The sequence below is a fragment of the Homo sapiens genome, chromosome 3 (genome assembly GCF_000001405.40).
Source record: "Homo sapiens chromosome 3, GRCh38.p14 Primary Assembly".
NCBI classification, from domain to species: Eukaryota; Metazoa; Chordata; class Mammalia; order Primates; family Hominidae; genus Homo; species Homo sapiens.
Window position 1 is genome coordinate 131035033 of NC_000003.12, and position 16084 is coordinate 131051116.

The 16084-nt window shown below is 39.6% G+C and overlaps 1 protein-coding gene and 1 long non-coding RNA gene across 55 annotated transcripts in view, besides 1 other annotated feature; both read left to right on the top strand.

Moving 5' to 3' along the window:
- Positions 1-16084, top strand: part of NEK11 (NIMA related kinase 11) — a 323589-nt gene that overhangs the window by 8156 nt on the left and 299349 nt on the right. The window contains exon 4 of one of the 54 annotated variants that reach the window (NM_001353038.2): positions 641-780. The exons of the other annotated variants lie outside the window; for them this stretch is intronic. The gene's annotated coding sequence lies outside the window, so the exon portion shown is untranslated. The remainder of the gene's footprint in view (positions 1-640; positions 781-16084) is intronic. 54 annotated transcript variants of the gene reach the window in all.
- Positions 7443-8253: an enhancer, noted in NCBI's record as "H3K27ac-H3K4me1 hESC enhancer chr3:130761319-130762129 (GRCh37/hg19 assembly coordinates)". NCBI's record gives its function as "activates a minimal SCP1, AML or CMV promoter by ChIP-STARR-seq in naive H9 embryonic stem cells {active_cell/tissue: H9 hESC(naive)}" and the evidence as "EXISTENCE:reporter gene assay evidence [ECO:0000049][PMID:30033119]".
- Positions 12788-14660, top strand: LOC124909434 (uncharacterized). The gene is made up of 2 exons (XR_007096086.1): positions 12788-13672; positions 13850-14660. It is a non-coding gene; the product is annotated as an uncharacterized LOC124909434 (long non-coding RNA).

Sequence of the window (16084 nt, forward strand, 5' to 3'; positions counted from 1 at the left end):
TGGTAACAAGGAAATGCTTTATCTCTACAGAAGGCATTTTTTCCCCCTCTATCTCATATGTCTGCCTGAGATAAGGATCAGGAGTTAAATAGTAAAAGGCCTACAAGTCCTTAAAGAAATGGCCCTCAAGTCCAGGCTCTTGCCTCCTCAGAGAGCTCTTGGGTCTACATTAGAGTAGATTTTTAAAAGTCCTAGCAAGCTGATTTTCTACCCAGTTATGGAAACAAAATGGAAGATAGGGGGCCAAGAGTTGATGCTAGAATGAGTCATACTGACAACAGAGGGGAGTGGTCTTAGACCATAAGAGTAAGGGAGGTAGAAAGTAAGAAAAAGATAATTAAAAAACCCCAAAAGCCAAAAAAGTCTGGGTCCATTGTTGTAAAGCTCTCCATACTCCAGTTTCTACTTATAGAAATCTCAGACGTCCAGCCCTGTTCCAAAGTACTGTATTGAGACAGACTCACTAACTGGCATGGAGTCAAAAGGGCTCAGGGGTTCAGCCACCACCCTGGGGTCCAGGCCTCAGCTTTTCATATTCATACACCCAGAGATGGTCAGTCTTGGAGAGGAGCTTATATTAACTAAATCAAGACAAGATAGATCTATAAACCATGATTCCACTTCTTAATCTGGTTCCTAGGATGAACAGTACCTCCTCCTTTGTGCACCCTCCCACCATTTTCTGGTAGAAGTTCTGGAGAAGCTGTATATCTAATGAGAAGTGAAAATATAACCAAAATAAGCAGGTGGAATAATTGGGCAATTACTCGCTTAAACCAGGTAAAAGGTCTCTTCTAAGAACTTGACAAAATGGAACAGCTGTATGTACATTCTAAGTGGCTATTGTTGTGGGAGCCCTAAGACCCAGTGTTTATCTACTAAATAGCTCTGGATGCACCCCCATACAAATATTCATAGGGTACCTCCTTTCCCAATATTGAAAGTAATGTGTATACACTTTATAAAAAGTTCAGATGTGCATAAAGAAGCAGTAAAATAATCTATAATCCTGCCATCCAACCTGTGGTCTTTTCTGTATGCACTGACAAATATTCAGTCTTTTAACGAAACATGGCATTGGTCCTAGTCATTGCCTCTGAGAGGAGATAGGAAGAGAAGGAGACTTCACTTTTCACTGAACCCTTTCTGTGCATTTGGAATTTTGTATCATGTGCAAGACTGAAACAAAACAAAACCTATAAAATAAAGTGAAAAAACCCACATATTCATTCAACAAATACTGGTCACCGTTTACTGGTCATCTGGAGCTTGAGTCTGGTACAGTGATTCTTAACCTTGGCCAAACAGTGGAATCACAATATTTAGAAAGTACAGATGCTTGAGTCATACTCCAGTGAATTCTGTTTGGTCTGGGGTATGGCCAAGGATTTTTGAGAACTTCCAGGTGATTCATATGTGTCACTAGACTTGAAATATCTCAACTGGAGATAAAAACTCTACTTACATAATCATAAATAATTTTAGCTGCAATAACTTGTGAAAGAAAAATCTTGGTTCTTGTGAGGTACAATAAACTCATCTTTGCTTGCAGGATGGAAGGTTGGGTGAGGCAAGGCTTCCCTGAGAACTGTGAGCTGAAATCTGAAGAATTATTAAGAAGTAGCCAGTGGTTTTCACAATTTGTTGAGCATCAGAGTTGTCTGGAGAGCTTATTAAAACAGATTGCTTGGCTCCCCCCTACCCCAGAGGTTTCTGATTTAGCAGGTCTGGTAGGAGGGGCCTGACAATTTGCATTTCTAACAGCTGTTACTACATCTTAGAGGACTGCATTTTGAGGATCCTTGTACTAGGCAAAGGGATGGGAGAAGAGTTGCATTCAGTGTGAATGGCACTAAAATGGAATAGAGTTCAGTGTATATACAATCTCACATGCTTTTTTAAAGCAGGAAAATATAAGCATTTTCCCATGTTAGTAAATACTCTTTAAAAGCATCATTTTTAACACCTGCATAATAGTCTATGGCTTTCTTGTCATTTAACGGCCACTTGTTGGATATCTAGATTCTAGTGCCTTCTTTGAAGTAGAAGACTATTGTGCCTTTTAGCGTCCTCAGCGATTTGATGTGATGACTGGTTCAGCATTTTCTTCCTGTCAGTAGCATAACTGAAAAACTAAGGAATGCAAGCTTCGGTCACTGAGAAATGACAGGCATTCTGTGTCATTCAATGGAAGCATTTTTTGTGAGTTACAGCTACATTTGCACTGTAGTAATTAGATAAAAAGAACTTCATCCATTTTTTTTTTTTTTGAGACGGAGTCTTGCTCTGTTGCCAGGCTGGAGTGCAGTGGTGTGATCTCAGCTCACTGCAGCCTCCATCTCCCAGTTTCAAGCAATTCTCCTACCTCAGCCTCCTGCATAGCTGGGATTACAGGCACCCACCACCACGCCCAGCTAATTTTTGTATATTTAGTAGAGACAAGGTTTCACCATCTTGGCCAGGCTAGTCTCAAACTCTTAACCTCGTGGTCCACCTGCCTTGGTCTCCCAAAGTGCTGGGATTACAGGCGTGAGCCACCATGCCCAGCAGGAATAATAATTCTTACTAAAATGTGTGGGTTTTTGTAATATTAAAAATACACTTTCAATAATTCAGATTGTGACTGTAATTTCTGCCATTTAATAGCTGATCACCTTTAGCAAAGCTAATATTTATATATTGTACCTACTAATACCTATTTATGGATATTTCTGTCTGATTTATTTAATCATTTTAACATATCTTTACTTTCAATTTTGAGTCATTTTAAACAAAACATCAATAGATTTAATGAGTCCAACTTTGAACTCAATCTATGTATTCTTATTAAAGCTACTATTTCTATATTATGTCTAGGAGTTCTCTCCAGTGGTTATCTGTGATGGGATAGTGGGTTTATTGAGTGGGACGAGTTAATTTAATAGGATTCAGTGGTTTACGCCGTGGAGAGTTATGAAAACAATTTGGAAGAAACTAATGATTTCTTTCTATTTTGCCTTGCCAGACCTCAAAACACAGTTTCTTTCAGTTTCTCACAGTTAAAAAAAAAATCTTCCTGCTTATCTTTTAAGAGAAAGTATAACATGAAAGCATATTAAAATATTAAAAATTTTAATACTAAAATTAATATTAAAAACAGTTCAGATTCTCGGAATCTTGTGCTTAGGTTCCTCTAGGTAAATATAGAAAGAGTACATTTGAACTTGGACTTCACTTTGGGCTTTGTCAGTTCTCTGCACACAATAAGGTCAAGCCTCTGAGCTTCTGGCCATCTTATATTTAAAGTTTGGGAGATGGAATGGATAAGGAGAGAAGAAAATGCAAGGGCACATAGTTACTTTGATTAGTTTCAATCATGGTAATGAAGTCAATATTCTGAGATAAATGACTTTCCTAAGGCCGCTTTGCTGCATGTGTTAGCATAAAAGAATCCGTGTGCTTTCTATCTGGTTTTTAATATTTACAGATCAGAAATGACTAATAAAATATTAGAATGAGTAGGCTGCAGGGAAACCCTCAGTTTCTTTTTGGCTTAGGCAGGGGGCCAAAAAAGCCTCCTTTTAAGACTGAATTGCCAAGAAACATTTAGGAAGAAGACAACAGTTAGGAAGAAGGCAACAATACTCAAAAATTCTTCTTAAAAATAATTCTTTTTTCTTACATTACTGTTGTTTGAAAGAAAACAAAAGTGATGTATTTAAAATATTACAGCCGTATTAGTGTCAGCAGTAAAAGTATATTCAAATTACAATAGTATACTTGTTAGATTTTCAGACTTATTTAAATTTATCATTCCACTCTGTTCTTTCAATGTGTTGTTCTGGTGGATTTGTGAGTAGGGAAGCTAATGGTTTGGCTAACACTGAATGACATCCCATGAAATATGGAATAGCATTCTTCATTTAAATGTATGAGATAGGGGAATATCTAAGCTATTCTAGTAAATAATAGTAATAATAAATGTAATTGGATATGCTGATCCCTTTACATTGTCATTGTTGACTTCCTAAAATTTTTAAAGTGCAAGATTTTTGTGTTAAGCCTATTAAGTTATTGTATCTCATTTATTCAATAAATAAAGTATTTTAGGATGAGTGCAAAAAATGCAAGAGCAAAATTTGATGGGTGTAGTCTACCTTGTAGGTTTTTTTTCCTTCCCCTAAAAGGGCTTTTTTCATCGAGATGTTTTATAATAAAAAGTGAGCTGATTTTTAATAGAGTCCAGAGGAACCTCAATAACCAAATCCAGAATTCTTAATGGTTGATGAATATTAGAATATTCAGTCAGCTAACTTTAATTTCCTGACCCCAAAACAAGCACAACACCCTCAAGTATAATCTGTAACTAGCCCTTCTTGCTGTTGTTTCTACACAAGCAGCCTTTTGGGGAGAATATTTCCTCCAACAACTTTTGGTGCATCCGGCAGCCCAGCTCTCTTCCTGGCAGACAGCAGGCAGTTCCCTTTTACCATTGCTTACTTTAACTGGATCAGTTGAGGGAGGCATCTGTTTTACTCAGTCCTTTCCTTCTAAACCGATCTGGTTCCTTTTTGACGCATGAATGTCTCTCAAGAGTAATATAGGCAATTTTGGCCAGCACCCAACTTTATACCTATTTTGAACTGAAAATTTTAGTTGTGATATCATCCACCCTTAAGTAACTTGAAATGAGATATGTATATGACTTAAATTTAAAAGAAATGAGAAGGGGGAAAATTCTCAAGTTAAAATTAGTTTCTGGATCAATTTATTACTCTTCAACTGATTTTCCTGGGGAAAAAAGCTTAGTTGCCATAACATCCATGTTTAAATAGTGCACTTTGAGTGATGTGCATGACTTACAAGTCAACATGAGAGACAAGCAACCCTTATGTTAGTAATAGTTTCTTGGTCAGTTATTCCTAAGCTTGGTTTTTGGAAAGAGTAATTTGTAAATTTAATTAAGAGTAATTTGTACATCTATGTGGGAAATAAACATTGTTGGCACCAGAGTTCTAAAAGTAGTTTACTTCCACTAATTGTGCATTGTATAAATAATGTTATGTAGTATCAAAAATAAGCAGTTAATATTGTGTGACCTTTATTGCTTTAAAATACTGTGAAATTGAATTTCCATTCCGTAGTTTAACGAGAACACTTTTTATTTCTCAGATACTCTTATAAGCCCTAGTCCCTGCTACTCACGAATGAATAATTATGAACCTTTGACATGCTATAGAACATACTTATTAGTACAGTAGTGCTGTATTTATTTGGGTAGTTATATGAAAAAAAAAACACCCAAAGTTTTAGTTATTAAGAAAGCAAACACTAAGCCTGATGAAATGTGTGGGGGTGATGGATATGCTCATTATCATGATTGTAGAGATGGTGTCATGTTTCATGGGTATATACATATATCAAAATTTGGCAAATTATACACTTAAAATATGTGCAGTGTATTATGTCAATTGTACCTTAACAATTGTGTTTAGAAAAAGCAAAAACCCTGTACCATGATATATGAAAACCCTTAAGATTGTTAAACTGGCTGAATTTGCAGTTACTAATGATAATCATTATGAAACTTGATACTTTCAGCTGAGTGCTGCTTTTTAATCTTGGGTTCATACCAGCCAATTTTATTGTTTTTAGCTCAGAGAAAAATCATAGGCTTTGTTTTTGGTACCTTTATTGGGCAAGTGAAGAAGGAAGATCAAAATGTAGTTGATAATATTGTCCTACATACTAGGTTTCCAACTTTCTAAGAGTGGAAAATTTGGAACATTGAATTTCTGATTAGAATGTGTTTGGGTGTCAATTTTCTCAGTCTCTCCCACATGCAGCAGTCACTTAGCATTTTAATTAAAGTTTGGTTGATGTTTCCACTTCCCTATTAGTTTGAATTTTGAGAAACCCTTTAAAACCTAATCACTTAGCTATGGCTGCTTTCCTTCAGGGGAGATTCAAGGAAGATTTGTGGCCCCACAGCCCTTCATTTCCTCTCTTCTTTCTTTGCTTATGTCTTTCATCTCATAAGCCTCATACAAATGCATACACTGTGAGTTTGGGGATAATATCGGCCAATCCACTTTTTGCAATATTGGATTTGCTATTTGGTGATCAGCTGCTTTTAATTTATATTGCTATTTCAAAGACATTTTGGTGCAAAGATTATTGAGCTCTAATGAGTAGTTTCTATTATTTTTAGAATTGCTTTAGTAATCAAAATTACAGGAAGGATTAATGACAGATGTGAGTTGCAAGGCAGTTTAACATTACTTAAAAAATGAAACATTTGGGTGTTCCATATGAATTGGACCTGACACATATCTGAAATTGCATTTTAAGTAAGCTTTAAAGCAGTTGACTATTGAACTTGCAGGGAGTAAGTACATATTCAAAAGGTTTTGAAAACTGACAACAGTAGATAATTTCCCACAGATAAAGCTTATTTTGGCATTATTTTGCTAGCTCACATAACCATAAAAACTCTGTGTGTGTGTGTGTATGTGTATACATACGTAAATATATACTCACGTATATATATGTGTGTGTGTATGTGTGTGTTTAAGGTGTGTATATGTGTATGCATTTTTTAATTGGACAGTTTTTTAGTTCAACACTAGTTTCAGCAGCAAAAGTTGTGTTCAGCTGGTAATAATATCCCGTTCTGATGGATGAAGAGGCAAGGGCTCAATATTTCATAACTATACTTGGACATGAACTCAGTATTGAGTACTTGGAAGTACTCAGTGGAGACTTCTACTTTATAAAAATTCAAAAGGCGATTCCAGGGCAAGATGGCCGAATAAGAACAGCTCTGGTCTGCAGCTCCCAGCGAGATCAATGCAGAAGGTGGGTGATTTCTGCATTTCCAACTGAGGTACCTGGTTCATCTCATTGGGACTGGTTAGATGTGGGTACAGCCCACGGAGGGCGAGCAGAAGGAGGGTGGGGCGTCACCTCACCCCGGAAGTGCAAGGGGTTGGGGAGCTCCCTCCCCTAGCGAAGGGAAGCTGTGAGGGACTGTGCCATGAGGAACAGTGCATTCCAGCTCAGCCACTATACCTTTCCCACAGTCTTCACAGACCAGGAGATTCCATCAGGGGCCTACACCACAAGCGCCCTGGGTTTCAAGCACAAAACTGGGCAACCGTTTGGGCAGACACCCAGCTAGCTGCAGGTTTTTGTTTTTTGTTTTTTTTTTCCCTGTATCCCAGTGGTGCCTGGAATGCCAGCGAGACAGAACTGTTCACTCCCCTGGAAAGGGGGCTGAAGCCAGGGAGCCAAGAGGTCTTGCTCAGCGGATCCCATTCCCATGGAACCCAGCAAGCTAAGATCCACTGGCTTGAAATTCTCACAGCCAGCATGGCAGTCTGAGGTCGACCTGGGATGCTGTTGCTTGGTGGGGGGAGGGGTGTTCACCATTACTGAGGCTTGAGTAGGTGGTTTTCCCTTCACAGTATAAACAAAGCTGCCAGGAAGTTCAAACTGGGTGGAGCCTACTGCAGTGCCACAAAGCCGCTGTAGCCAGACTGTCTCTCTAGATTCCTCCTCTCTGGCAGGGCATCTCTGAAAGAAAGGCAGCAGCCTCAGTTAGGGGCTTATAGATAAAACTCCCATCTCCCTGGGACAGAGCACCTGGGGGAAGGGGCGGCTGTGGGTACAGCTTCAGCAGACTTAAACGTTCCTGCCTGCTGACTCTGAAGAGAGCAGCAGATTTCCCAGCACAGCACTCGAGCTCTGCTAAGGGACAGACTGCCTCCACAAGTGGGTCCCTGACCCCCGTGCCTCCTGATGGGGAGACACCTTCCAGCAGGGGTCGACAGGTACCTCACACGGGAGAGCTCTGGCTGGCATCTGGCAGGTGCCACTCTGGGATGAGGCTTCCAGAGGAAGGAACAGGCAGCAATCTTTGCTGTTCTGCAGCCTCTGCTGGTGATACCCAGGCAAACGGGGTTTGGAGTGGACCCCCAGAAAATACCAGCAGACCTGCAGAAGAGGGGCCTGACTGTTAGAAGGAAAACTAACAAACAGAAAGCAATAGCATCAACATCAACAAAAAGGATGACCACGCAAAAACTTCATCCAAAGGTCACCAACAGCAAAGAACAAAGGTAGGTAAATCCACGAAGATGAGGAAAAACCAGCGCAAAAAGGCTGAAAATTCCAAAAACCAGAATGCCACTTCTCCAAAGGATCACAACTCCTCGCCAGCAAGAGAACAAAACTGGATGGAGAATGAGTTTGACAAATTGACAGAAGTATGCTTCAGAAGGTGGATAATAATGAACTCCTCCGAGCTAAAGGAGCGTGTTCTAACCCAATGCAAAGAAGTTAGGAACCTTGATAAAAATTAGAGGAGTTGCTAACTAGAATAACCGGTTTAGATAAGAACACAAATGATGTGATGGAGCTGAAAAACAGCACAAGAACTTCATGAAGGAAGCATACACAAGTATCAATAGTCAAATCAATCAAGTGGAAGAAAGTATATCAGTGATTGAAGATCAACTTAATGAAATCAAGTGTGAAGACAAGATTAGAGAAAAAAGAATGAAAAGTAATGAACAAAGACTTCAAGAAATATGGGACTATGTGAACAGACCAAATCTACATTTGATTGGTGTACCTGTAAGGGACGGGGAGAATGGAACCAAGTTGGAAAACACTCATCAGGATATTATCCGGGAGAACTTCCCCAACCTAGCAAGACAGGCCAACATTCAAATTCAGGAAATACAGAGAACACTGCAAAGATACTCCTCAAGAAGACCAACCCCAAGACACATAATCGTCAGATTCACCAAGGTTGAAATGAAGGAAAAAATGTGAAGGGCAGCCAGAGAGAAAGGTTGGTTTACCCACAAAGGGAAGCCTATCAGACTAACAACAGACCTCTCTGCAGAAACCCTACATGCCAGAAGAGAGTGGGGGCCAATATTCAACATTCTTAAAGGAAAGAATTTTCAACCCAGAATTCCATATCCAGCCAAACTAAGCTTCAAAAATGAAGGAGAAATGAAACCCTTTACAGACAAGCAAATACTGAGGATTTTGCCTTACAAGAGGTCCTGAAGGAAGCACTAAATATGGAAAGGAGAAACCGGTACCAGCCACTGCAAAAACAAACCAAAATGTAAAGACCATCAACACTATGGAGAAACTGCATCAACAAATGGACAAAATAACCAGCTAGCATCATAATGATAGGATCAAATTCACACATAACAATATTAACCTCAAATGTAAATGGGCTAAATGCCCCAATTAAAAGGCACAGACTGGCAAATTGGATAGAGTCAAGACCCATTGGTGTGCTGTATTCAGGAGACCCATCTCACGTGCAAAGACAAACATAGGCTCAAAACAAAGGATGGAGGACTATTTACCAAGCAAATGGAAAGCAAAAAAAAAAAAAAAAAAAAAGGTGGGGGGGGGGGTTGGAATCCTAGTCTCTAGTCTCTGATAAAACAGACTTTAAACCAACAAAGATTAGAAGAGACAAAGAGGGGCATTACATAATGTAAAGGGATCAATGCAACGAGAAGAGCCAACTATCCTAGGTATATATGCACCCAATACAGGAGCACCCAGATTCATAAAGCAAGTTCTTAGAGACCTACCAAGGGACTTAGACTCCCACACAATAATTGTGGGAGACTTTGATGCCCCACTGTCAATATTAGACAGATCAACAAGACAGAAAATTAACAGGGATATTCAGGACTTGAACTCAGCTCTGGACCAAGCAGACCTGATAGACATCTACAGAACTCTTCACCCCAAATCAACAGAATATACATTTTTCTCAGCACCGCATAGCACTTATTCTAAAATCGACCACATAATTGGAAGTAAAACACTCCTCAGCAAATGCAAAAGATCAGAAATCATAACAAACCCTCTCTTAGACCGCAGTGCAATCAAATTAGAACTCAGGATTAAGAAACTCACTCAAAACTGCCCAATTACGTGGAAACTGAACAACCTGCTCCTGAATGACTACTGGGTAAATAAGAAAATTAAGGCAGAAATAAGTTCTTTGAAATGAAGGAGAGCAAAGACACAGCATACCAGAATCTCTGGGACACAGCTAGGGCAGTGTTTAGAGGGAAATTTATAGCACTAAATGCCCACAGGAGAAAATGGGAAAGATCTAAAATCAACAATTGTCTATTTGTGCCCTTTTAGACTTTTTGATGTGAGCAAGAAAGACCTAAAATCGACAATTGTCTATTTGTGCCCTTTTAGACTTTTTGATTTGGGCATTTAAGTCTATGAATTTTCCTCTTACCACTGCCTTTGTGGTATCCCAGAGGTTTTGATAGGTTTTGTCACTATTATACTTCAAATAATTTTTAAATTTCCATCTTGATTTTATTGTTCACCCAACACTCATTCAGGAGCAGGTTATTTAATTTCAATGTATTTCCATGGTTTTGAGAGTTCCTTTTGGAGTGGATTTTCAGTTTTATTCCACTTTGATCTGAGAGAATACTTGATATAATTTCAATTTTCTTCAATTTATTGAGACCTGTTTTATGGCTTATCATATGGTCTGTCTTGGAGAATGAATGTTACACGTGCTGATGCATAGAATGTATATTCTATAGTTGCTGGTTAGTATGTCCTGTGGCTTTATTAACTTTTTATCTTGCTGACCTGTCTATTGCTGTCAGTGGAGTGTTGAAGTCCCCCACTATTATTGTGTTGCTGTCTATCTCATTTCTTAGGTCTAGTAGTAATTGTTTTGTAAATTTGGGAGCTCCAGTGTTGGGTGCATGTATGTTTAGGATTGTGATATTTTCCTTTTGGACAAGTTTTTTTTATCATTGTATAATGTCCCTCTTTGTCCTTTTTAACTGCTGTTGTTTTAAAGTTTGTTTTGTCTGATATAAGAATAGCTACTCCTCCTTGCTTTTGGTGCCCATTTGCATGGAATATCTTTTTCCACCCCTTTACCTTAAGTTTACATGAGTTCTTATGCATTAGGTGAGTCTCCTGAGAACAGCAGATGGTTGGTTGGTGAATTCTTTTTCATTCTGCCATTCTGTGTCTTTTAAGTGGAGCATTTATGTTATTTACATTCAACATTAATATTGAGATACATGCTATTCTATTCCTTATGCGGTTTGTTGCCTGAATACCTTTTTATTTTTTCATTGTTTTTGTTTTATCGGTCCTGTGAGATTTATGCTTTAAGGAGGTTCTATTTTGGTGTATTGCGAAAATGTGTTTTCAAGATATAGAACTCCTTTTAGCAGTTCTTACAGTGCTGGCTTGGTAGTGGTGAATTCTCTCAGTATTTGTTTGTCTGAAAAAGACTGTATCTTTTTTTCACTTATGAAGCTTAGTTTCACTGAATACAAAATTCCTGGCTGATAATTATTTTCTTTTAGGAGGCTAAAGATAGGGTCCCAGTCCCTTCTAGTAGGGTGTCTGCTGAGAAATCTGCTGTTAATATGATAGGTTTTCCTTTATAGGTTACTTGATGCTTTTGCCTCACAGCTCTTTTTTTCCCCTTAATCAGAATATGTATCTGGTTTCCAATAAAGTGATTCTTTTTTTTTTTTCTTAATTATACTTTAAGTTCTAGGGTACATGTGCACAACGTGCAGGTTTGTTACATAAGTATACATTTGCCATGTTGGTTTGCTGCACCTATCAACTCCTCATTTACATTAGGTATTTCTCACAGCTCTTAAGATAGTTTCATTCATCTTGACTTGAGACAGCCTGATGAGTGTGTGCCTAGGCGATGATCTTTTTGCAATGAATTACCTAGGTGTTCTTTGAGCTTCTCGTATTTGGATGCCTAGATCTCTAGCAAGGCCAGGTAAGTTTTCCTTGATTATTCTCTCAAGTATGTTTTCCAAACTTGTAGATTTCTCTTCTTTCTTGGAAATACCAGTTATTCTTTGGTTTGGTTGTTTAGCATAATCTCAAACCTCTTGGAGGCTTTTTAAAAAAATTATTTTTTCTTTGTCTTTTTCAGATTAGATTAATTGGAAAGTCTTGTTTTCAAGGTCTGAAGTTTTTTCTTCTACTTGTCGATTCTATTGCTGAGACTTTTCAGTGCATTTTGCATTTCTCTAAGTGTGTCCATTTCCAGAAGTATCACTTTATTATGTATTCTATTTCACCGAAGTTTTTTCTTTTCATATCTTGTATCATTTTTTGATTTCATTAAGTTAGACTTCACCTTTCTCTGATGCCTTCTCGATTAGCTAATAATTGACCTCCTGAATTCTTTTTCTGGCAATTCAGAGATTTCTTCTTGGTTCGGATCTGTTGCTGGTGAGTTAGTGTGATCTTTTGGGGGTGTTCACTTTGTTTTTTCGTATTACCAGGATTGTTTTTCTGGTGCCTTCTCCTTTGAGTAGACTACATCAGAGAAATGATCTGGGGCTCAAGGACTGCTGTTTAGATTCTTTTGTCTCATGAGGGTGCTCCCTTGATGTGGTGCTCTCCCCTTTCCCTTAGGGATGTGGTTTCCTGAGAGCTGACCTGCAGTGGTTGTTATTTCTCTTCTGGATCTAACCACCCAGCAGAGCTACTGGGCTCTGGACTGCTAGTGGGGAGTGTCTGCACAGCATCCTGTGATGTGAACCATCTTCAGTCTCTCAGCCCTGGATCCCAGCACCTGCTCCAGTGGAGGTGGCAGGGGAGTGAAGTGGACTCTGCGAGGGTCCTTGGTTGTAGTTTTGTTTATTGTACTAGTTTTGTGTTGGTTGGCCTCCAGCCAGAAGGTGGCGCTTTCAAGAGAGCATCAGCTGTGGTAGTATAGGAAGGATCAGGTGGTAGGTGGGACCATAGAGCTCCCAGGAGAATATGTCCTTTGTCTTCAGCTACCAGAGCAGGTAGAGAAAGACCATTAGGTTGGGGCAAGGTTAGGTGTGTCTGAGCTCAGACTCTTCTTGGGTGGGGCTTGCTGTGGCTGCTGTGGGGTATGTGGGTGTGGTTCTCAGGCCAGTGGGATTATGTTTCCAGGGGTATTATGGCTGCCTCTGCTGCATCATGCAGGTCACCAGGGAAGTGGGAGAAAACTGGCAGTTACAGGCCTCATGCAGCTCCCACGTATCCCAAAAGGCCAGTGTTACTCCTACCGTGCCCTCTCAATAGCACTGAGTTTATTTCCAGGCAGCGGGTGAACAGAGCTGGGAACTTTCCCCAGGCCACCAGCCTCCCCGCTGAGAAAGCATGCAGGACTTTCAGGTTCTGTGTTTCCCCACCTGCCGCAGCTTCTGTGCTGTGTCTGCACTCCCTATTCGCCCCCTCCCCCAGGTTCTGTCCAGGAAACTGCGTTTGGTCAAAATGGTTACAAAGTTCAGCTGGAAGTTTCCTTCTCCCTGTGGTCTTTTCCCAGTTCCTCTGGCAGCCCTCTCCAAGGACCCCTGTGAGACAAAGTCAGAAACGGCTTCGCTGGGGACCAAGAGTGCCCACAGGGCTCTTCCTGCTGCTGCTTCTACACCTGTATTTCACTTGGCTCTCTAAATTTGTCTCAGCTCCAGGTAAGGTCAGATCCTTCTGTGATCTGGACCTTCAGGTTCCCCAGTGAGGGTGTGTGTTTGGGGGCAGATGATCCCTCTTTCACACTTTGGGCACTCAGAGTGTTTTGGCTGTCTCCAGGTGCCTGCAGCAGCAATCCGCTTCCTTCAAAGGATCTGTGGATCCTCTCGCTTTCCTGGTATGTTCCTGTGGTAGTTCTTGGAGCAAAAGTTCTCTGTATGAGTCTTCACACGCTGCTCTGTCTGTCTGAGTGGGAGCTGCAAGTTAGTCCTGCCTCCTATCCACCATTTCTTTTTCTAGTGTCCTGGCTAGTAATTTCTGAGTGGAATGATGCATCATTTACATGTCACTTCAGCCTAAGGAGTAGAGCCCTCCTGACCTTGGAGCTTCTCTTCTGAGCTCTTGCATTGAGACGCTGGCACCTGTGTACAGAAGCACTGTAAGGAGGATAGCTGCCTGCTGACTTGCTCCGCCTACGGAAGACTTGGTGTCCATTTTGACTTCGCGAACCTAAGGCTTGAACTAGTATAGCCTTTTCTAATTAATAGTACATACAATAACAATGATTGCTTTTTGGTTGTAGTTAGCTAAAAGTTTCGTTAGTTTAGTATTTTGGTTCTAAAACACATTTTAAATTTTCTCTGGTTATACATTCCATGTAGATTAAAGGCATAAATCCATGTAGAATAACAAATGGACCTCATGGTATGGACTCAGCATGATTATGTTCTATGTAGAATCTAGAGACGAATTTAGAGACCCAATTTCAGATACATAATTTCTGTGCAGTTTTTGTACCAATTAGCAAAGAGATGATTGACGGTTGCTAGTCCTGTGAAACAGCAGTAGTTACGCAGTATATGTCCTAGTGGTATGGAGTTTAAGAATGAAAATTTTATCCTAAGACTTAGCCCACTTGTATCGTCACTCTATACGTCATTTATTTTGGGACTCTTCTTGCTTTTAGATGACAATTTACAAAATTATTTGTCATTTCTTTAATTGGTATTTGTACTTATGTCCCACAAACGGCTTAATTTGTGTGTCCATCAGTGGCATGTTAAGCCCACTTTAGCCCATATATGTTACTCAGTGTTGTCAAACGTGTATTTTCTACTAAACGGTATCTATTTCAAGAGTTTGTCAGATAAACTATGCAGAACCAAGATGTCAGTTTTGTGTTTTTATTTCCTATATTGCCTCATTTATAACAATAATATATGATCCTCCAAATTTGCCAGATATTGTTCAAACTGCATTTTCTAAAAGTAGAGATCTTCTGAGGATTTTTTTGTTTTTTAAACTATATATCTATGAATACTTTTAACTACATGTTATAAATAACAAAAACAATTTAAAAAAAGTTGTTGCTTGTGACAACACTAACGTCAAGGAAATTTTGTTTAGATTGGGAAAATAAAACAGGTGTTTCAGTCCAAAAAAAAAAAAAAATCAAAAGGCATTAATATGGCCCCTATTGAAAAGCCCACACTGAGAGGCACTAACTACCCATGCCTTTGCAGTGTGAGGTTAATGGGGGGGTGTCCCCTCAGCAGCTGCCTCAAGCTCCTGCTTTGCCATTAACCAGACTCACTCCAGGATTCCTTGGAAACTGTGTGCCTACCTGAATAATTTATTACCTAGTGATCAATTATTCATAATTCTTTATTACAACGAAATAAAACCTAAAGGTGGAATCATTTTGCCACTTATGAATATCCAACAGATCATCAGGAGATTGCAGTAGAGTTTTAAGCCCTTGCGGTCCCCACTGCCTGTTTGTTTCTCTGAAGGGATTCCACAGAGAACAGCCTTCTGAGACAGGATCAGAATCAAAGAAAGCAGTAACAAATGACTCCCTGCTGGTCGTGCTGCACGGTTCATCTATTCATGCTGTTTGTCTTTTTAATTCTGGCCTCATTTATACCTAGAAATAAAATTTCAATTTGAAAGAATGTAGGAGACTTTTATGACACCGTTGGTTTATTAAATCATTCTTAGGAGGTAGACAAGGACATAAAACTTACACCTAGAGTATCTTCTGGAATAAAATGCAGGAACCTTTAGTACATTTTATTGACACTAATCATATTGCATTTGCTTGTTTCATCAGTTATATCTGAGTTATATTTTATTTATTTATTAGACCATATAAAAATGCCATATATTTTCCACATATATAGAAAGCATTTTAGTAAAAGTTCTCTGAAAGTATAGTAAGGCCAGGCATGGTGGCTCATGCCTGTAATCCCAACACTTTGGGAGGCTGAGGCAGGAGGATCGCTTGAACCCAGGAATTCCAGACCAGACTGGGCAACATTGGGAGACTCTGTCTTTACAAATAGTAATAAATAGTGGGCATGGTGGCGCATGCCTGCAGTCTGTCCCAGCTACTCGGAAGGCTGAGGTGGGAGGATTGCCTTAGCACCTGAGGTGGTCAAGGCTGCAGTGAACTAGAATTGCACCACAGCATCCCATCCTAGGCGACAGAGTGAGACCCTGCCTCCAAAAAAAATTAGTATAACCAAATGAAGCCTACTTCTTTAAAATTTGGGAAATGTAGTGGAAAATTGTTTAGCTTAAGCCAGAC